At 38.1% G+C, this 22,452-nt stretch overlaps 1 protein-coding gene across 5 annotated transcripts in view, besides 3 other annotated features; it reads right to left on the bottom strand.

Annotated features, from left to right (window-relative positions):
* Nucleotides 1-22,452, bottom strand: part of PTPRZ1 (protein tyrosine phosphatase receptor type Z1) — a 188,876-nt gene that overhangs the window by 102,998 nt on the left and 63,426 nt on the right. The window lies entirely within an intron of this gene.
* Nucleotides 5,032-5,705: an enhancer, noted in NCBI's record as "OCT4-NANOG hESC enhancer chr7:121593388-121594061 (GRCh37/hg19 assembly coordinates)". NCBI's record gives its function as "activates a minimal SCP1, AML or CMV promoter by ChIP-STARR-seq in primed H9 embryonic stem cells {active_cell/tissue: H9 hESC(primed)}" and the evidence as "EXISTENCE:reporter gene assay evidence [ECO:0000049][PMID:30033119]".
* Nucleotides 19,908-20,444: an enhancer, noted in NCBI's record as "OCT4-NANOG hESC enhancer chr7:121578649-121579185 (GRCh37/hg19 assembly coordinates)". NCBI's record gives its function as "activates a minimal SCP1, AML or CMV promoter by ChIP-STARR-seq in naive and primed H9 embryonic stem cells {active_cell/tissue: H9 hESC(naive and primed)}" and the evidence as "EXISTENCE:reporter gene assay evidence [ECO:0000049][PMID:30033119]".
* Nucleotides 20,445-20,981: an enhancer, noted in NCBI's record as "OCT4-NANOG hESC enhancer chr7:121578112-121578648 (GRCh37/hg19 assembly coordinates)". NCBI's record gives its function as "activates a minimal SCP1, AML or CMV promoter by ChIP-STARR-seq in naive and primed H9 embryonic stem cells {active_cell/tissue: H9 hESC(naive and primed)}" and the evidence as "EXISTENCE:reporter gene assay evidence [ECO:0000049][PMID:30033119]".

Below are 22,452 nucleotides of genomic sequence, written 5' to 3'. Positions count from 1 at the left end.
ATCCTGGCTAACATGGTGAAACCCCGCCTCTACTAAAAATACAAAAAATTAGCCAGCCATGGTGGTGGGCACCTGTAGTCCCAGCTACTCAGGAGGCTGAGGCAGGAGAATGGCTTGAACCTGGGAGGCGGAGGTTGCAGTGAGCTGAGATTGTGCCACTGCACTCCAGCCTGGGCAACAGAGTGAGACTCTGTCTCAAAAACAACAACAACAACAACAAAAGATGTCATTTTGAAGGTTAGGAATGTTCCAGAGGATTCTTATTTGGGAGTGAGGAAGGGAGAATGGCAAAGGATGACTTCTAAAATCCCGACGGGGACATACCTGAGTGTATCATGGTACCAGTCACGTTGGTAGAGATTATGAATAGAAAGACTTTGAATTTCGTTTTGAACCTGCAGACTTGGAAATTTCAATGGAAGTTCATTAAACAACAAAAAATATGGGTCTGGGAGGCACTGGTCTGGGGAACATCAGTGTACAGATAGCATACATTTATAACCACAGATATGGGTGAAATACTTCAATCAAAGTTGACAAGCAAGAAGAGGATCAGTGATAAGATGGTGGAAAGCACTAACATTTAGGCAGCATAAAGGGGAGCAGTGGCACCAAATGGACTTAAGAATGAGTGGCCTGAAAGGGAATTGCAAACCCAGGAGAAAATGGTATCATGAAAGTCATAGAAACATGGTTTCAACAATGAGTATCCCAAAGTGGGTATCATACACAGCAGAGACCGTCTAAGTGTCATGAGTGAAGAATGAGTTTGGATTTGGTTATTTCCCAACTCCAAACCCCACATTCATAGAATAAATCAATTTCCGTGAAATGATAGACTTGCAATTCAGACTACAGAGTGAATTAGAGGGAACCAGTAGAATTAAAGCACTTTTTAAAAACAGTTTGCTGTGAACGAAAGAAGGATGATAAGGTGGCACACAGAGACAGACGCAAGGATGAGAAATGGATTTTTTTAAGACAGAGGGAAACATAAGTATGTGTATATATTGAGAGGAAAGAATTATTAAAAGAAAGAGTTTGAAGTTATGGAAAGTTGATGATCAAATATCCCAAAAGAGAAAAAACAAAGCATGAATAGACTATTATTAGCCTAACGGAGGAAAGAAGCACAAGAGAGTCATGGAATATGTATTCATATGGATTTAGCTATATTTAGAATAGGGAAGTGAGAAATCTGATGTTCATGCCCTAGTATTTCTGTTTTACAGCTGCATCCCATCACATGGGAGGAGAAGTTTGGCAGTTGAACTAACATGAGCTCAGTCTCAGCACCACCACTTACATGAGCCTCAGTTACCTTATCTGTAAAAGAAAGAATAATCTCCACATCTCAGACTGTGCAAATTAAATCAGATAATATATGTAAATGGGCAGGCAGACAGTACAATCTTTTCAGCGCCTTTCCCTATTTTCTCAGAAAAACTGGAATCAGTATCATTCACTGCAAGGGAGGAGCAGGTGTGAGAATAGGCTTGAGGAAATAGTGAAGAATAAAATCGTGGACTTTTAGGCTGAGGGAAAGCACTGAGGGCTCTCCTGATGTGGGAGACCATAGAAGCACCATTTAAAAGTGTGTATTGGAAGAAGCAGTGGTGAGAATGACCCCTGGACAGACCAAAGCTCGTGCAACGCTGCATTCCGTGCCCAGCTGCATCCCACACCCAGCACCTACATCCCACCACCATCGCCGCCACCATGCCCAAGAGAAAGGCTGAAGGGGATGCGAAAGGAGATACAGCCAAAGTGAAGGATGAACCACAGAGAAGATCCGCGAGATTGTCTGCTAAACCTGCTCCTCCAAAGCCAGAGCCCAGGCCTAAAAAGGCCCTGCAAAGAAGGGACAGAAGGTACCCAGAGGGAAAAAGGGAAAAGATGATACTGGCAAGGAGGGGAATAACCCTGCAGAAATGGAGACCAGGCACAGAAAGCTGAAGGTGCTGGAAATGCCAAGCGAAGTGTGCGCATTTTTGATAACTGTGCACTGGTGACCGTACAGTTTGAAATATTTTTATCAAGTTTTATAAAAATGCAGAATTTTGTTTTACTTTTTTTTTAAGCTATGTTGTTAAGACACAACATTTCATTATTGTTTTTTGGGGGGGAAGGAGCATATGTCACTAATAAATGTCTCCAAATCTGGATTGATGTGTGAAACACCTTTCCCTTCTAGTTTTGAGAGACTTCCTCTTGGTTCCCAGGAGGAAAGATTTCCTGACTTTGACATACATGGCCACCTTGGTGCAAAAGCCTTGTGGTATGGAAAACAAATTAGTTCTTATGTTTTCTTCTCCCTTTCCACCTTCCAGCATAGACTTAACTCCCTTAAACCCAGACATCTGTTGGGACCGGAATCCCATTAATTGGTCACCAATGCATCAGGCAATCTGGACTTTCCAGTGGTGCCACTGAGATGGCGTGCCTCAAAAGAGCAGTGGTTATGTTTCTAGATTGTGAATCTTCAAATAAATTCTGCCATTTTCATTTCATTTCTGAAAGTCAGGGTCGGTTGTGAAAAGTTGTTAAAAACATGCTAAATGTGAAATGTCAACCCTCACTCAAAACTTTCCCTGCTCAGTGCATCAGATGAAGACTTCATTGAGTTTTATAGTGGCTTTCTGATTTTTGGTAGTCCATTAGAGAAGGATTTTTGAAAGTTGTTGTATACTGTTAATAATTGTCTGCCCATGTCCTGACTGAAATTCCAGGATTGTTTATGGAAAGTGTCTTTAATAAAGCTGGATACAGTTTGGCTTAGAAAAAATAAAAATAAGAAAATAAAAGTGTGTATTTTTGGTTTAACTTTTCAATTTTTAAGAAATGTTTGGGAAAGTCAATATTCCTGATGGACAAGCAGAGAGGACGGGTAGTTGCAGTCCTAAGTGGAAATCAGTAGGACGAGTGTGAGTAGGATGTATAAAAAGCTAGAGAACCGGAAGTTCTGGCGAGAGGATGCTGAAGCTCTCTCCCCACCACCCCCATCTCTAATCTGGTATGGGGAAAGAAAGGTAATTTTTAAAAAGCTATCAAACCGTCAGAACCCCAAAGTCCTCCTATCTTTCACTTTAAATTATAAGATGATAGAGTGATAGTGCTGAAACCCAATACAGCAGTGTTTCTGTTGCTGCAGCCTGGTATCAAGTATTTAATTAAAATTGGAAAAATCGCAGATAAAATTTAACAAACTCCCATAACAACAGAGAGTTCTTGTTGCTCTATCACCCCACTGACAAGACACCACTTCAGAAGAAAGAAAAGGCTCAGAAATAAGGTGACACTGTGACTAATGTTATGACCTTTATATTTGCCTGATTCTGTCTAATTGCACCTACTGAATTTTAATACTCAGATTCAGACTGAAGGCAATGCAGGTTGATTAATTACAGGACTTTTCTGTAGCTCTTGCTGTTAACTAGCTGCCCTCAATGTTAACTAACTGCCCTCAATGAAAGGCAGGCAAACTATTTATGGAATTATGAGAGAAATGGAGTGAGATTTCTTTCCTTTGTTGCTGCAGTCTTGTTATTACCAATGAGACGGCAAATGCAGAACAAAACAAACAAACAAACAAACAAACAAACAAACAAAGCCCTGGTGGAAATTACCCCCTGGTTTGGGAAATAAAAATCTCTCTTCTTGCAGAATAGCTCTGAAAGTTGCCTTAGGGTCATCATAAGCCCTCTTGTGGTCATTAACTTTCCCCCTTCTTCAATAACTGATGAGCTAAGTTCTCATAGCACAGAAATAGCAGTGCAATGGAAAACAACACAAGTCTCTGACAGTGACACTACCATCAGGGCTGTACTCGATGCTTATTATCCACATACTTATTATAGATATGGGGCATGACTACAGCTCTGTTTCCTACCTTTGGTAAAAGGGTCAATGACACAGAGTTGCAGTCTGAGACACAGTGGCAACCTGGTATCCTTCTATTCATGGTAGGACCTCTGCTAAACCACAGCACTGTTTCATTGTTTTGGTTGAAGTCCATGCTGCCCATATGGCAGAAGCTTCTGGCTTGATTCCTATTTGAGTCATCGGTTCCTCCTTTCTGTATACACTTATCACAGAATACTCTTACATCAGATCTCCTAGGTGCATTGTTACTGGTCACATTCAAGGAACAAGAAAGAAGCTGTGGATCCATTATGATAGCAATAAATCTGCTGCCACAGCTGGGAATTCTGTATTTTATATTATCCACAGATCCCATGAAAACTTAACGCTGCTGATTGCAGCTTTTATTTGTTCATTTGTTTACTAATTTATCAAATATTTATGATGTGTCTAGTGTGAGACAGAATATCTACCTGGTACAAAAGATTCAAAGATGAATAAAAGTGCCATCATCAAAGAACTCATGTTCTAGTGAGAACCAAAGATATAAAAACTGTCAATTATAATATAATCTAATGAATATAATAGCAGAAATATGCATAGGGTATTCCAGGGACACCAAAGAGAGATACCTAACCCAGATGGGATATGAGACAAGTAAGGCTTTCTAGATAAAAAAGGTACTTGAAATAAGTCTCAATAAACAGGTATCCAACTGAAGGTAAGGAAGAAATTCATGGCTGAAGGCATCTAGGAAGACAGAGTGCATGGCTGTTTGGGAAGAATAGTAGGAGGTTCTATGTGCTCAGACATGGAATGCAAGGCAGTGAGTGGAGGGGCTGTAAGAATAAATGGAAAAATTTGGGGGCTTTGCATGCCAGAACAAGGGCTTTAAAATTTTTCCAGTAAGCTATTGAAGGTGTTTAAGATGCAAGTGTCACGGTCATATTTAAATTTTATGGAAGTAACTGTGGTTACAGAGTTAAGGAAGACAAAACTGAAGGAGATAGGTCAGTTAGAAGGTTCTACCAATTGGTAAGGTGAAGATTATTACGGATCTAAACTAGGGCAGAGATAAGAAGAAAGATAGATTTGAGAAAGATTTAAAAGTTAAGATTTAATATTTGAGAAAAAATTCAGAACTGGTTAGTTGATTAGCTGTGGGGTGGAGACAGAGGAGGGAGTGAATGGATGAATGATCACTTTGATGACTCTGACTGATGACTGAGGATGATGGTGCCACCAGCCAAAAGCCACAGCATCATTTCCTCCAGGAACTGATTGCTGAGTCCCTTGTCATCCTTTACGGCCATTGTACAATGATGCATTAGGTTCAGATGGTGGGTGGCTGGGAAGAAGGGGAACAATCACCGAATCACCGTTTTCTTTGATCTACACCGTTTTCTTTGATCTACACTGAGCTCTCCTCAATGGCACTGACAACCAATGAGTAGCAAAAAATAGCTGAAGTGAACTATTCCTTAGGTGAATTATTTGTTGTCAGTGTGGCCAGAGAGGCACCACTGGCATCCCGGAATCTCTCAGATGTCTCCAAGGACTGAAATAATGCCAAAAATTTAGCCTGATGATTCTGTACAAGAGAAAAGTTAGTCTTCACCTTGCTTTCTTTGTATTGCAAAGTGATAATAAAGGCTGACATAAAAAATAATTTAATGACAATGGATCTTTTCAAGTATGTACATAGCTGAATAATAATAAACATTATGTGACACCAGAGATCATCTGCATTGTTTTTCATAAAGACCTGTTTGCCTTTTCCATTCATCTACCTTTTCCCAGTCTGACTATTGCATCATTGTCTTTTCAAACCAAGTGAAAGTTTGATAGACACTCATACAGATATCATTTGAGGAAAATTATGACACCTAAAATGTATTTCTTCACAAGCAATTTGTAACAAACAGTCTAATGAGAGCAATACAACCTGTGAAATATAAAATAGATGAAAAATTAATACCCAAATTAAAGACCTAAAATGAGAAAGTAAAAAAGTGCTTAAGTGATAATTAAACCAAACTCCTATTTAAAGATAGCAAATTTATGGCTTGACTTTTTAAAATCTTAAAAGTGACTTCAAGAATTAGAGATAATTTTTTCAAATGTGACATTAAACAGCTTGCCTATTGCTGCCTCTAACCTCTTTCCTGAATTTCCACTTATTTTTTTTTTAATTAGTGTCAATCAAGAGACTCATAAGCAGGGCAGAAGCCTGAATACTGACCCTTTTCCTTTTTTCTATCTCATTTCTTAAGGATGATGTTTAAATTATGTGTTTTAGTATAAGTAATTCTGGTACATGGCAATTTATAAATCAGCTAAAACAAGCTGATCATCAGCTTACATTGCAAATAGACTCATTGCAATAGTTCATTATATTAGCATGTGCCTCTGCTCTTTAAATGTATACATAAAAAGGCTAAGAGAAAAGCTTTAAACTAAAATGTTAGGAGTCATTGCCAAGGGATTATTAATCTCAAAGTAAATTATTAAACTCATTATGAAAGCCAACTATATTTGATTTTTAATAAATTGATTCTTCAAAACTTTTCTTTTCTTTTCTTTTCTTTTTTTTGAGACAGTGCTCATTCTGTCACACAGGCTGGAATGCAGTGGAGTGACTGTAGCTCACTGAAGCCTTGAACTCCTGGGCTCAAGTGATTCTACTGCCTCAGTCTCCCAAGTAGCTGAGACTACAGGCATGTGCCACCACGCCTAGCTAATTTTTAAAATTCTTTTGTAGATATAGAGTCTCTCTATGTTGCCCAGGATGGTCTTCTACTTCTGGCCTCAAGCAATCTTCCTGTCTTGGTCTCCCAAAGCACTGGAATTACAGGTGCCAGCTACCTTCAAGTCTTTATTATGCTAAAAAAAACCAAAAACAAACAAAAAAAAAAACACTCACCGGGCGCGGTGACTCACGCCTGTAATCCCAGCACTTTGGGAGGCCGAGGCCGGCCAATCACGAGGTCAGGAGATACAGACCATGCTCGCTAACACGGTGAAACCCTGTCTCTACTAAAAATACAAAAGATTAGCCAGGCATGGTGGTGGGCGCCTGTAGTCCCAGCTACTCGGGAGGCTGAGGCAGGAGAATGGCGTGAACCCGGGAGGCGGAGCTTGCAGTGAGCCGAGATCGCGTCACTGCACTCCAGCCTGGGCGACAGAGCGAGACTCCGTCTCAAAAAAAAAAAAATAAATAAATAAATACACTCGCATGGATTTAAAGGTATCTAAACTTGTGTCTACTTTTTCAGCCCAGGGGAAGATTCTCTAACAGTCTATTCAGTAACAGTATATTTAAGTAGTTTCTCTTTTTGGATGAGGAGGTTCCTTGCCTTTGTTTAACTGGACAGAGAAGGTTTATCAGGAAGCTGGGGCAAAGGAAGTGAAGCAGGCACTAAGAAGTGAAAACCCCTGAGAAGTCACAGAAATTCTAAGGAGGGCTTAGGACTTCTACAGGTAGTGGAATTTGAGGAGATGAAGAGGCAGGCTGGCTTTTGAGCATAACTCACATCTTTGAAAGGTTGAGAACCCCAGCTGACACCTGTTTGAGACATTTTTAACTCATTAATACTGAGGAAGGGTCAAAGTTAAGGACAAGGTAAAAGTCAACAATGCACTTACAGGTCAGCAAATTCTCTGTTCGCTATAGTTTAGTGAATGCAATGCCTATGTTTTCACATTTGCCACTACCAAATAATAAACACCACACTTCTGAAAGGTGTTCACATCAGAGTCATATTAGGACATTTCTTCAAATAAATCACTCTTTTTCACTACTCAAAATAAAACTTTTAAAAGTGATACTAGTAATATCAAAAATTATTACAAAGTATTTTTTCTTCTGTGGTAAAGGTAATGCTAGTAGCAATGAGGTTGTATCTCTCTCAGCTCCAAGAAGACAGCAGTATCCTTTGTTTAAGAAATTGAACTAAAATTTTGGAAGTTTCAAATAAGTTGATTCTAGATCATATCTCTATAAAAACTGACAAACTGATTTGGAATAAAACATTTATTCTCAATTAATTCATTGTGATTTCACTTGGTAGAACTCTAGAACATAAAATGGAAGAAATCTTCCAGATCTAAAATCTAATTTGATCATAATTCCTCATGCCTTGTATTGACTCATTTGGATCTTATAATCTTCTAAATCAAAATTATATTTTATGACTTAGTCTTCTGATACCATATTCAAAGCATACATATCTATAACTTTGATGGGTAATTAGAAAATAAATTATGGCCACAAATACGTTCTGTTTCTAAATTTGACTTTGTTTGAACTTCTCTTATTCCCTGGATATTCAACAGTCTGCTACTTGTTGTATTAGTTATTACATATTTTCTAGTAACACTCCTAAGTCTGAAAATACAAATATGAATTTTCTTTCAGTGAGACTAAGGGCTAAAAGAAGAAGACATACAGATAAACAAATCAATGCAACGAGAATTACAGGTAATCTAATAAGGATTGTGCACATGATCACTTCCCTGGGGTCTCAGTATAGGTTTTGAAGAGGAGATAATATTCAGTGTAGAAATTTGCATACATACTTACTAAGGCAGGGCAGGGCTACTCCCGCTTTCTAGTCTGAGCCAGATCACCAGTCCCCTTGATAACTAGAGAAGACATGGCAGTTTCTGTATTTCATTGCAAGCCTACTATCTTGGATTTTACTTTGCTTCTTTATCACTATCTGGCATCAGGTTTCTATTCCATGCTCTGTCAAATCAAGTATGTTGAATTCTGATTATCCTGTCTTCTGATGATAACTTGTCCATCAAAGAATTTCAGGATTGGGAAAAACCACATTAGTTCCTGACATGGTTTGTCTGTGTCCCCACCCAAGTCTCATCTTGAATTCCCATGTGTTGTGGAAGAGACCTGGTGGCAGGTAATTTAATCATGGGGGCAAGTCTTTCCTATGCTGTTCTAGTGATAGTGAATAAGTCTCATGAGACCTGATGGTTTTAAAAGCAGGCATTCTCCTGCACAAGCTCTCTCATTTTTTGCCTGCCACCATCCATGTAAGATGTGACTTGGTCATCCTTGCCTTCCGCCATAATTGTGAGGCTTCCCCAGCCATGTGGAACTGTAAGTCCAATTAAACCTCTTTCGTTTGTAAATTGCTTAGTCGCGGGTATGTCTTTATCAGCAGCATGAAAATGGGCTAATACAGTTCAATTACCCATTATTGCTTGAATTCACTATAGGACACTCTCAATAACAGGTTTTTCTACTTATATTTAAATACCTTTGATATTGGAGTCTCTATCTCTCCCAGAATACTTTATTCCAATTTTGGATTTTTCAATGTGAAAAAAAATATTTCCTCTATCAAAGTAGGTTTCTGTAGCTTTTATATTTCTCTCCAAATTGTACCTACTGGGGGCCATCCAAAATGCTTAGTTATTTTTCCATATGAAGGCCCCATAAATATATCAATACTGGCATTGATGTCCCATGTCTCCCTAGAATGTATAAAGCCAAACTGTGCTCTGACCACCTTGTAGTTTCCTGAGCCTTATCTTTTTCATGATACAGTCAAAACTGCTCCTCATATGTCAAGATTCTACCAATCAAGGGGCCTTCTGCCAAATACTCTCCGATTTGTCCATAATCTTTTTAAAGTTTAGCACCTAGAGTTGGGCACAGTATTTTGAATGGAGCAAAATATGATAATATAGATGAGTTTTCTAGGCTATAAAACATGCCTTCAACTTTATCATTATAACAACAGTAATTCATATGTGCGTGGTACTTTCTTTGGGAAATGTGAAAGGAAAAAAAACTTGGGGCCCCCAAATCACTAAACTAAAGGGAAAAGTCAAGCTGGGAACTGCTTAGGGCCAACCTACCTCCCCTTCTAATTAAAGTCACCCCTCTGCTCACTGAGATAAATGCATATCTGATTGTCTCCTTTGGGGAGGCTAATAAGAAACTCACAATAATGCAGCCATTTGTCTCTTTTCTACCTATGACCTAGAAGCCCCCTCCTTGCTTCCAGTCTTCCCACCTTTGCTTCGAGTTGTCCCACCTTTCCAGACAGAACCAATGTTCATCTTGTGTGTGTTGACTGATGTCCTATGTCTCCCTAGAATGTATAAAGCCAGACTGTGCTCTGACCACCTTGGGCACATCGGGACCTCCTGAGGCTGTGTTATGGGCTTGCATCCTCAACCCTGGCAAGATAAACTTTTTAAATTAACTGAGACCTGTCTCACATTTTTAGGGTTCACAGGAAGTAACACTATATAATGTTCAGAATGCATGGGTTCTGAAGTCACACTTTCTGGGTGAAAACACTGTCTCTACCATTTATCAACAAATAACCTTGAGTAAGTCTCTTCACTTCTCTATTCCTCAGGAATATTACCTAAAAAAAAAAAAAATGGATTGTATGAGGACCAACCTCACAGCATCACTGTGAGGTTTAAATAACAAAATAATGGCTGCTGGACTCTCCATTTTATCACACTCTGCTTTCTCTTCCATAAGCAGCCACTTTTCTTATCTCAGTGCCTTCGCACTTTCCCTGCCCTTGCCTGAAACATTCATCCTCTACTTGTCACCAGATGGCTACTTTTCTTTCTTCATACCTCAGATGAAATGTCTCCCATTTGGAAAGGTCCTCCCCACCTTTGCTAAGCTATTGTCTATCATATCAACATGTTTATTCTTATTTATTTATATTTCTAAAATAGACATGGGGTTTCACTGCATTGCCCAGGCTAGTCTTGAACTACTGGGCTCAAGAGATCCCGCTGCCTCAGCCTCCCAGAGCGCTAGGATAACAGGCATGAGCCACCATGTTTGGCCAGGTTTATTCTTTTCACAATAGCTATCATACTCTGCAATTATTTATTTATTTGCTTTTTTTGGTCTTTTTCTTTCTAATAGAATGTAAGCTTAATTAGAGCAGGTACTTACTTACCTGTTCTGTTAACAGACAGGTGATACTCACCAATTTATTCATTCAATATTAGTCCCTGTAGTTAGTATTGAATGAATAAATTAGTGAATATCACCTGTATTTGTTGTTGTTATTGTGCTTATCATCATTTCCCTTAGCTCTCATGCCTGTTCTCTGAACAGGCAGGTAAATGAATTCACATTTTCAGAATAACTAAAATAACAGCAAAATGCATTTCACAAATGTGAGGGGAAATATGGTCACTAAAATGGATAAATCCACTAAAACTCCCCAAACATTTCACAGCAGCTACCGAGAATTCAGTTCAATAGTGCGTGAAATTCCATTTCATGTGTCCCAGTTTGTCATGTGAGAAAATTTCAGTATGCACATTAAAAGGAATCACTTATTTAGAACCCAAAATGATATGTTACCATGCCAGATCTATTTAATTTAGTCTGGATTTGGCCTCATAAAAAAAAAATCTTCAAATAGAGGCTAATAAACTGGTAAAGAGCTACAAAGCAAATCCTCAGTGCAACATCCTGCTTCCATTTATTTTAGTTAGAACCGCTGGCAGACATGAATAAAGGGAAGCCCATATTAAATGATATATTTCTTAGACTTTTGTATTGTTTTATAAGCCAAATAATTTTTATGGAAAAATCATTAAACTGGATATAGAATTACTAATTGATTTATCTTTGTTTTTCAATTTAAACTACAGGGTAATTCAATAGTTGAAACTAGTATAATCTAATTTCTGCTTTGGTAGGCTCATATTTGTGAGCTCTATGATATTATCTTTCCCTTTCTTTCTTATTAAGCAATTAAAATTTTCATGCATCGTCAGCATAGCAGAGCAACACATAGGACTATGGAGTTAAATATTAAAAGGCTTCATTTTAACCTTCTTCAACTTGTACTTCTCTTTTAAAATGCAAGTCCTATTAAGTAATTGTTGTATATCTTTTTTTTTTTTATAATTTTAAACTTAGAGAAAAGGTTCAAGTACAGAACAGACTTTTTTTTCTTGAACCACTGGAGTGAATAGTGCCAACATCCCACTGACACTGAGTACTTCAGCCTGAGCTTCTTAAGGACAAGAATATTTTCCTATATAATCACAATATACTCTTCAAAATAAGGAAATTAACATTGATAACATTAGTACCATGGAGTCCTTATGCTTCGTTCAGATATTGCCAATATAATAACCTTTAGGGAATAAGTTTCCATTCAGTAACACATGTTGCCTTTACTTGTCCTCTCTCGTTCAATCTGACACAGTTCCTCCATCTCTTCTCGACTTTCGTAATCTCAATCCTTTTGAAGACTACAGTTATTTTATAGAATGTCCCTCAATTTGAGTTTGTCTGATGTCTCTTCAGGTTATGCATTTTTATTAGAAACGTCACAAAAAATATGCTCTTTTCTTCTCACTGTATCTTAGTCAGTGGTACAGGATCTCTGTAAAGGTAATTTTTGCTGACGTTTACTTTGATCACTTGATTAAAGTATCTGTCAGGCTTTCCACTGCAATATTATTCTCTGTCTTGTAATTAGAAAGTATTTTGAGGGGAGGTATTTTGAAGTTATAGCAATATCTCATTCTTCATTAAATTTATTTTTTTCAATTCTCAATTTATATTAATTTGAACTCAAGGTTTCCTATTTTGTTCAACAGGATACAAAATATTACTACCACTGTTTATTGGAGCTCTATGGGACCTTCTCGCTACTTTGTTGTCAGTTGTCTCTTTTCCAGGAAATGAATTAAGAGTGATGACAACTGTTTTTAGGATTAGTATAGGGAGTAAACCAGTTTTTTACATTTCTCAGGCTCCCAGAGGAACAATTTGAATTCCCTCTCTGACTTATATTCTCTCTCATTATATTCACTGGGGTACAGGTCTTAGGATTCAAAAGCTGTTCCCATGTCTGTGGTTATTACCACATACAGGAATACCTAGGGATGTGTTAAGATCCTCCATGCGGCCAAACAGTGGCTCTATATAGTTGAACAGTTCCTTAGGTTTTTACAGGCAATCACTAAATCCTTTCCCATTTCTCTGGTTGAAAGAAAATTCTTGTTTCAATTTCAAGAGCACTGAACAACTATTTCCCACTCAGATCAGAGCATGAGTACTTCTCAGGCTTCTCTTACTAGCAGCCAAGACTCCTGAGCAACTTCCAATACTATATACAGTGTGGGTGTGGTGCAGAACTTTTAATGAGTGAAGGAGATTTACACTTAGGGAATGGTGCCTACTGAATTCTACTCTGAAGGTAACTTCCTGTACTTAATGGTAATAATATGACCAAAATGACAAGCTGCTTTTTTACAAACTTTTGAGAAAATTACCCCATCACTAAGTCTAACATTCTTCCTAGGGAGGTGGAGAAGAGGCTGTCTTTAAACTACGAGGAGTTTTCCATGGCTTTAAAAAGAGAGAGAATTCCTTCTTGCATTGGGCATAGATTAAGATGTTATGCTTGGCACACTGTCTCTAGGGTGTGTATAAGAAGAGGTACAGAATTTAAAGGAGAAGTAGGTATGACTGGTTGCAAATATCTGTGAGAACTGGGATGAGCTCAGTCATTTTTCAGGAGTTCCCCACATGAACTAGCTCATTATTAGGCATGGCTTGATTGGAGCTACTCATGTAACCTGGAGGTATACTGTGAATCCTCCTAAGCCAAGGGGGAATATTGAGTCTGAGGAAATGAAAAATAAAAAAATGAATTTGCAAAACTTACAACTTTGAAAATGTACCAAAAAAATTACCTACTTAAAAAAAGACAATGGCTTGATCTTCAAAATTTAGTAGCTGTTGATCTACATGTATCAATGGTTTTAATCTCTATAATTCTAGAATATCTCCAGAGAATAATAGTCTAAAATGACTGTACTCAATATTCATGAATGAGACTGCATCTTACACAGTATAGTTTAATGTGTCACTGTGAGTCATTTCCTTTACCTATAGATATTTGTTCTCTGTTATTTTAGAATTCAAGCTCCATCTGGGGCACTTAGTCTTTTTTATTTTCTGCTGGCAGATAGGAGTGCTTAATTAAGATGTGTTGAATATATGAATAAGTGAATGAAATTATTACACAACAAATGCAGGCTCTACCATTCATTATGAGATTTTCAAATAAATCCTCTGCTAGAGTAATGGGAACTGACAGATAACATTTTTTTGGACAACTATTAAAACTTTCAAACATACTCCCCAGGGTTACAGACTAAATTTCAAGAAAAATGGAGCCCAATGACAAAAAATGTAATCTGGGCCGGGTATGGTGGCTTGCGCTGTAATTCCAGCGCTAAAGGAGGCCGAATCAGGTGGATTACCTGAGGTCAGGAGTGAGAAACCAGCCTGGCCAACATGTTGAAACCCCGTCTCTACTAAAAATATAAAAATTAGCTGGACATGGTGGTGCCTGCCTGTAGTCCCAGCTACTCGGGAGGCTGAGGCAGGAGAATTGCTTGAACCTGAAAGGCAGAGGTTGCAGTGAGCTGAGATCACCCCACTGCACTCCAGCCTGGGAGACAGAGCAAGACAAGACTGTCTTTAAAAAAAAAATGTAATCTGTAAGTATGGCACTAAAATAATTTGTCCTGTGGGGTTTACATTATTGACTTGAAAAGTGACAATTACATGAGTTGTTTAACTCCAAACAGCTACTGAAGCAAAGAATGAATAACAACTTTTACTGAATAGAAATCCAGAAATATTCAGATCCTATTTTAAAAATTTTGGATATACCCATAAATTACATTACCAACAGCCAAAAATATTAGAAGGAAATTATTATTATTAGGATTATTAACAACACAATTTAAAAGGACTCTACTACCAGGCTTTAAAAACTTAAAAATATATATATAAGAATGAAAAACACAATCTTAATATTTTCAGGACCCAGGATCTTCTGGAGTCAGGTAAATACAAAGATTATAAAAAAGGAAATTTCCTTGGAAATTGCTAGGGATAAATGTGTCAAGAGTAGTGTAAGGTAAAGATAACTTACAGCCAGATTCAGTAATGAAGGATTTGCTGGATCCACCTAGGCCAGGAATTTCCCTATGTAGGTAAAGAGGCCCCATCCAGATGGGGAAATTAATGCAAGTTGCATTAAAAATTGTCCAAAAACTTAACTCATCTCTATTGATGCAGATAGCAGCTTTTGAAAATAGCATTTTCAATGTTGTTACATGTTACACTGAGGCAATACTGCTACTTTTTAAATGTCAATATACCTCATCCAGAGAGCTGAAGCACTTTTACACAAATAAATATATTCATGCATGTGCTTTCTCTTCTTCACTCCATCATTCATTCATTCCCCAAATTAAGATAACATAAGCTGAGATTGACCTAGAGTCTAGACACTGCAACGTTTGGCTCCTCAGATCTGCAGTATCAGGAACACCTGAGAATTTGTTAGACATTAAATTTGTGGCTTCTATCTCAGATTTACTGAATCAGAAACTCTGAAAATCAGGACCAGTAATCTTTTTTCAGTAAGCCCTCCAGGTAATTCTGATGGTCTCTAAAATTTAGGAACCACTGCTTTAAATTCTCCATTATTGGCCGGGCGCAGTGGCTCACGCCTGTAATCCCAGCACGTTGGGAGGCCGAGGCGGGAGGATCACGAGGTCAGGAGATCGAGACCATCCTGGCTAACACGGTAAAGCCCCATCTCTACTAAAAATACAAAAAAAAATTAGCCGGGCATGGTGGCGGGCACCTGTAGTCCCAGCTACTTGGGAGGCTGAGGCAGGAGAATGGCGTGAACCCGGGAGGTGGAGCTTGCAGTGAGCCGAGATCGCGCCACTGCACTCCAGCCTGGGCGATAGAGACTCCATCTCAAAAAAATAAATAAATACATAAATACATTCTACACTACTTATGGTTTCATTCTTTATCATTGTGATTGCTCATTTGACAATTTCACTGTCAAAAAAAGAACATACTGTAAAAGTTTAAGAATATTCCAAATAAGGAAATAAAGTTCCTCACTAACACAATATTTAATTATCTTTAATGTTATTTAAATACAAAGCACGCTTGTAAAGATAGTCATAGGAGTTTTTATTTGATGTGTCTTCACATACTATGAGCCGGCATGCATAGATAGTATACAACTATCCATGATATTTTAGCATGAGTTTTAACAATACCAAACAGATAATAAATAATTGTTCAGTATGAACCTGTAACATACAATCTTCTAAAGTATATGATGTCAACACATTTTGTAATCTATTCTAATATAGTCCAAATATGGTTAAAAAACTTGCATATATCTACTTGGCAAAGTTTAATATTTATCTGGCCAACAGCTGCTAGCTGTTTAATTGCTTAAAATTAGGAAATTGGAAAGTGGTGTGACTATCTATTTAAGGCCAAATATTAATTAGGATCAAATAAATATAGTTCCTTAGATCTCTGTGGTATCTAATCTATATAAACACCTTGCAGTGATAACTCCAAAATCATTAAATGAAGGCCAGATAAAGTAGAGGAATTTGCATTATATGCCAAAATTAGCTTTCTACTAAATTTACTTTTTAAAATGATGGTGGCATAAAAACTCATCAATGAGACTTACGTTTTAAATCAAGCTTTCTCTCTTGTGCTCAAGCATGAACAAGCAATCACCATAAATGAAAGTAAAACAGTTATTGCAATTTACCTAAACATGTACGTTTTGAAGCTAAAGAATCATATTTAAAAGTTATAGAATTTTCTCCCCAAATATACTCTGAAACCTCATAAATATATCCTAAACTGGCTTTCTTCATTATCTCCACAGAAATTAAAGATGTAATTATTCTGCTAAAAAGCAAACAATTGAGGCTGCTCTCTAAAGATGAACTTTTCTTTCAAAAGAGAATGAACTCTTTCATGTCAATAGAGACTCACTTAGAAAATGGTGAATTGAAATGGGGAATCCTTTGATTTACAGGTCAGTAACATTGTCAATCAATTTGCAGAAGACTTTGAGTTTCAGGGGTGGGTGACCCCTCTGAAGAATATTTTGAGGGCATATTCAGGTTCTGGGTTACCTGCACAATTGTTCTGACTTTTTAAAAACTATACTTCCTGGTAAATGATGTAAAAAATGTGGCTGAGCTGGCAGTGATTCAGGCAATCATCTATGAGAAATTGATTCTCACTGAGCTTGGATAATGATCCCAGATTGTGAAACGAATGCAAAGTGAGGCTATTGTGTCACAGCAGAGAAGAAAATCAAGTTGTGTGATCCTTTAAGTGCCCTCAGTGGAATCCTGGCTAGATGAAGTCCAGATAAAATGCAAATGTATAATATGACCGTTTTCCTAAGAGAATATATTTTCACACTAATTACTATTTATTATCACTCCTTAAGGACATAGGTGATTAATATACCATTTCTGACTTTATTGCTTGGTAAAGAAGTTCACCTGGTACAGTGAAGTAGAAATAGGCCCAGACACAGGCCCCTCAGATACATAAAAGGACCATTATAAAATGAGGAAATATCAAAAGGCAGAAGACATTCCATGATGCAAAAACAATCTCTTAATAATCCTGGAATAAAAATTAATTTAGACATTTAAGCTCCCTTTTCCCACACCTGATTATAAAACAAATATATGTTTAGTCTAGAAAAACTAGAAGATGCTGGACAAGCAAACAGATGAAAATAAAGGGCACTTGCAATTCCACTTTCCAGAAATGACTGCTCTTACAAATTTCCTAAGAAGACATGCATAAAGGCTAAGAAGACCATACACAAGGCTTTGGAACCAGAAGTTTTTATATTTACACAAGAACTCAAAGCCTAACAGCTTTATATCTTATATTATTTCCCACATCACTTAAACAACACAAAAACAAACAAACAAAAAATCAGATGTGGCCACAGAAATTCTCTGGCCAGGGCCCTAGGAGTCAAAACCCAGGTCCAAGTTTCCAGTCTTCTGCTTACTTTGTGACTCTAGGCAAATGACTACGTCTCTTTATTTCTCCATTTGTAAAACAAAAGCTCAATCCACGTAGCTTTGTCCATTCATGCCATACACACTTCCTGAGCACACATGAGGTACTACATTCTGAACAAGGGAAGATGAGTGAGACATGCAACCTGTTATGCTGCTGCACTGCAACAAAGAGAGAGGGACAGGGACAGTGTATGAAAGCAAGGGATGTGCTCTGGCCTGCAGAAAAGAAGAGTCAGGAAAGAAGGCTTCACTTGAAGAAGGTGCATAGTCTGCTATTCAGGCAGGATTATAAACAGAATCGGAGAGACCTGCTTTTGAAAAGGCTGGTATAGCAGCAGGCAGGGGGAAGGTAATCATGAGGAATGAAACAGGATAGGTGGGCCAGCTCATTAAAGCCATTATATGCCAAGCTAAAGAGCCCTTTTTTTTTTTTCATTTGGCAGGTGATGGGGAGAATCATATAATTATATCTGTACTATTGAAAGATAATTGCGTGATGGACATAAACCTGTCAGAAGTCCTGAATATGACAGAAGATTTATCTGACTTTAAATAATAATTTTATTGAGCACTTTATATGCACCAGACACTATTCTAACTGCTTTGTATATACTTACACATGTAATCATTGCAGCACCTGCTGAGCTTGGTACTAACATTAGTTCTTTTTACAGGTGAAAAACTTTGGGACAAAAAAGATGACATGTAAGATGGAGCCCAGATTAGAAGGAAAGAGTAGGACTGTCTCTGGAGCTTGTATTCCCATCAGACAAACTAACAAAAGAATCCCCACTACAACCTGCTTCATTAAAATACATCCAAGTCCATAGTCTTTATCTCACTATGAACTCCCCAGAACTATGTGTGACAATGTTGATTAATCCTATCAACTTGAAGCTGTACCCCTCTTGGAGTAGGTAAAGCTCCTTTTCTCATACCCCTCTCTTTTGGACTCTTTTACTAGTCCCTTTTCCTTTCGTTTCCTAACTAGTGTGCTGATGTAAAATCATGCCTAACATCTCTTAAATGCAAAGAAGTCAACAGTTAAAATGTAAGCCATTGCCAATCAAACTATGGCATAAATCTTGTTATCCAGAATTTTCAATAGGGTAAGTGTATGGGAATTAATTCAGTGGGCCCCAAGAAGCTTGTCTCATCACATTCCTAATTTTCTGTCCAAAAGCAGGAAGAATGCGGTAGAGGCTGGAGCACAGTGATTTCTCCTTCACCTACAGATCTTAGGATAGCTGCTCCCTTTGCCTGGCACAATTTTTCACCCATGTTGATTTAACTCCTATTTATGCTTTATCTGAATCTAAAGTCGCTTTCTCTGGTAAGCCTTCCCTGAAACTCTTAGGCCAATTAGGGTTCCGTACCTTACATTAACACCATCTCCATGAGGTATTTACCATGCTTTAAAAAAAAAATCACGCTTAATCACTATTGTTTGCATACTTGTGATTACTTACACTCATCACTGCATCTCTGATGCCTAGTACAGTGTCTGGCTTACGCTGTACAATCCAATGAGTATTGATTAAACTAATAATATCCACACTTTAAATTTTCCTTTGTCAGTAAGTTTAAAATATCATTAAGGTAGAAGGCAAGCTAGGGAGTTGATGAGAAGTTTACTCCTTCATATTCTAACACAAGTTGACTGAACATAAAAATCTGAATGATATATGAGTATGTTATATGCATAAATACAACTGATCTTCAAGAACAAACTTTTAGGGTCTTGGAAAAGAAAAACTACATGTCATTTATTTATTTTTTTCAAAGTGCTGCAAATAGATCTTACTTCCTAGATATGCTAATGAAGTATGAAAGAATGGAAACTACAGAGTTTAGAGGTAATATATTTTGGCATATGCCAAGTTTTGGATTTGCTTTGGCACTGGTTCTAGGTGGCTCTGCCTTTGTTTCAATTTCCAGGTGGCAAAGCACTATAAAATGCAGCCTTCCCTGTTTTCCAATTCATTACGATTTTTAGCTACTTCTTATATGCTAAGCCTTGCTCTGAACTCACTCCACAGTGTTTATCTTTTGTATAATCTATTTGTTGCAAGAAGGATTTGGGATGATCCCCTGAAATTATGTTATTACTAGTCACAATTCCTCTCAGGCAAAATTATTTCTGTTCCCCATGAGACTGGAAATAAAGTAACAACTATCAAATATATATTGGGCTCCTACTATGTGTGAGTCTCTGCCTCAGACACATGGATAGTCAAAGTTTTGCCCTGGTAGAAGCTTATTTTTTCTGTTGCCCTCACACTGATTTAGTTACATTTACTTAGAAAGATATTCACAAACTACTATTGAGATAAAAGCAGGTACTACTATTGAGATAAAAGCAGTACATCTAGTAAGAGGCCATCAGAATTCAGGATGCATAATTAGGAAGTGTAAGGACAAATAAAAAGTAAAAGTAAGAGGCTTAATTCTCCCCATTGAAAACCAGGAAGACACTTTTCTCTCCACCCCCACCCCGTCCTTTTTTAAAGAGCATTTGCTTTAGAAAAGAGATCGTTGTAAATACTTTCTCCTTGTTTTGCAATGTATATCAATCCTTTTGAAAGCTAGATAGGCCCTTTGTCAGCTTTATGATCCAGGATGTTTTTCTCAAGGACCCGGGGGCCATCCTTATGAAATGCAAACATCGAGGAAGATGGTGCTCCACTCTCCCAATTTCTATGGGAAGGCAGGAGCTTAACTTCCATGAGCCTCTGGCTCCAACTTGTAAAGCTACCTCTTGTCTCAAAAATATGAAGTTTATTTTCCCTCTGGATGAAGCCAATAGGGTAACACAAATAGTCACTCCAATTACCAGTTAAAGTTTAGCTGAACCATGTGTGACAAAGTTGCTGCCAAGTCCTTCTACTTAAAGACAAGTTATTGTTTATCTTGAAAACATGCAATGGGTTGTACCTATTTGGCTATATGGGGGGGTGAGATTTCTTCCTATCTTCGCAATCTTTCAGTGATTGCCTATGATGTGTATTACATTCTGGTTTAATGCTTGTTTGATAATAAAACTGCTTTTTGTTGTTGTTGTTATTACATTTATGGAGAGGATTTCTGAGGTGGGAGATTTTGTTTTTAATTATATTTCCCCAACAGAAGACATTAAGAGTAGTTATCTCTGGAAGGTGAAATTATATAGATAAATAGATAGATATTAATAGATAGGTAGATAAATATATATAAACATATGAAATATGAAATATATGATACATACATGATTTTCTTAGATGAACACACTTTTATAATGATAAATAAAAAAGTGTTTTCCTTGTGGGAAAAAAATATCAGATTGGCACTTACAATACTTGTGAAGATAATGGCTCAGATCTCTACACTTTAAGGATCTCGGCATTAATGGAATCCGATCAGAAGGCATCTACCATCTTATCACACTAAGTCTCCTCAGCCTGTGTGTATATAGGCTCCTTTTTATTGGTCATCAGAAGTTATTCTACTAAATTAGGGAGCTGAATAGCATCCCCTAAGGGAATGAAGTTTAGCTTGCATGGACCAGAATCTGATTTTGTTGAAGGTTGCTGCTTCTTCCTCCAGACCATCAGTCTCCACCCTGACTCTGGGTGCCTGTTTAATTGGACTGAATGCCTGCACCACATGCACCTCGGCTGCTGAACCCCCAGCATCTTCCTCTTCTCATTTCTGCCTCTTTCAGAAGAGGAGCCCCACTATGGAGTTGCTGGGGCTCTGTTGTTTCCAGGACAAAGCATGTAGGCATTTGAGAAAGAGGAACACTCTGGGTGGGGAAGGCCCCAGGGGAGCCGCCAGGTGCATCACAATGAACTGGGAACCTGCTCCTCCTGGTGCCAGGCTCCACTCTGCCCTCAGTCTCTGCTGCCATATTTCTTCCTCAGTCCCCCAACTGTCTCCTGTCTCTCAGGGGCTCCTCCTTGCCTCTCCCTTGATTCTGGCTTCCAACAGGCCCACTGTCCTGAGGTTATCAAACACGGCTCTTCTGGTCTGGACCCTACCTCTCAATAGGGTTCAAGTTTCCCTCTCTTCCAAAGAAACTTGTGCAATTGTGCAATTGCACAATTATGCAATTGAAGAATGAATACGTGCAGCTGTTGTAAGCATACCAGAATATTCTGTGGTAGTTAGAAGCTCTATAACAGTCTATAACAGTTTGGATGCTGGTGTAGTAAGGGCCACAGACGATCTCCAAGATCCTCTGCATCCAGCCAAGAGAAGGCCCAGCTCTGGTTCAGTCAAGCGGTTATCTCATCTGAACAAAACACTATGTGGCTTAAGCAGAAAAAGGTATGAGACAAAGTGGTAAATGTAGGAAGGCATGTTTGCTCGTTTCTGTTTGCCACTGTAATTTCACAAGCTCCTGACTCTGCGACAATGTGCAACTCTCTGGAGGGAGGCTTTGAAGACAAAAGAGGATACAGCACAAAGCCCCCACGTCTCTTGCCTAAGTCACTGTATTCCCTAGAAGACAAATGACCCCAATCTTTGCCTTTTCTTACAGATAAGATAACATCTGATGGGGTTAGTGTTTATGCTTCTGTAATCTATAACCAATGTACTTTAGTCATCTGTAGTTAGATAGACTCTCACACCCAAACCTCGATGTGTTTCTACTTTAACGTAACTTTTGAGTGA

This window comes from Homo sapiens, chromosome 7 (assembly GCF_000001405.40).
Source record: "Homo sapiens chromosome 7, GRCh38.p14 Primary Assembly".
In the NCBI taxonomy this organism is placed as follows: Eukaryota; Metazoa; Chordata; class Mammalia; order Primates; family Hominidae; genus Homo; species Homo sapiens.
Note: the sequence above shows the minus strand (reverse complement) of the source record. Positions and strands in the feature narration are given on the sequence as shown.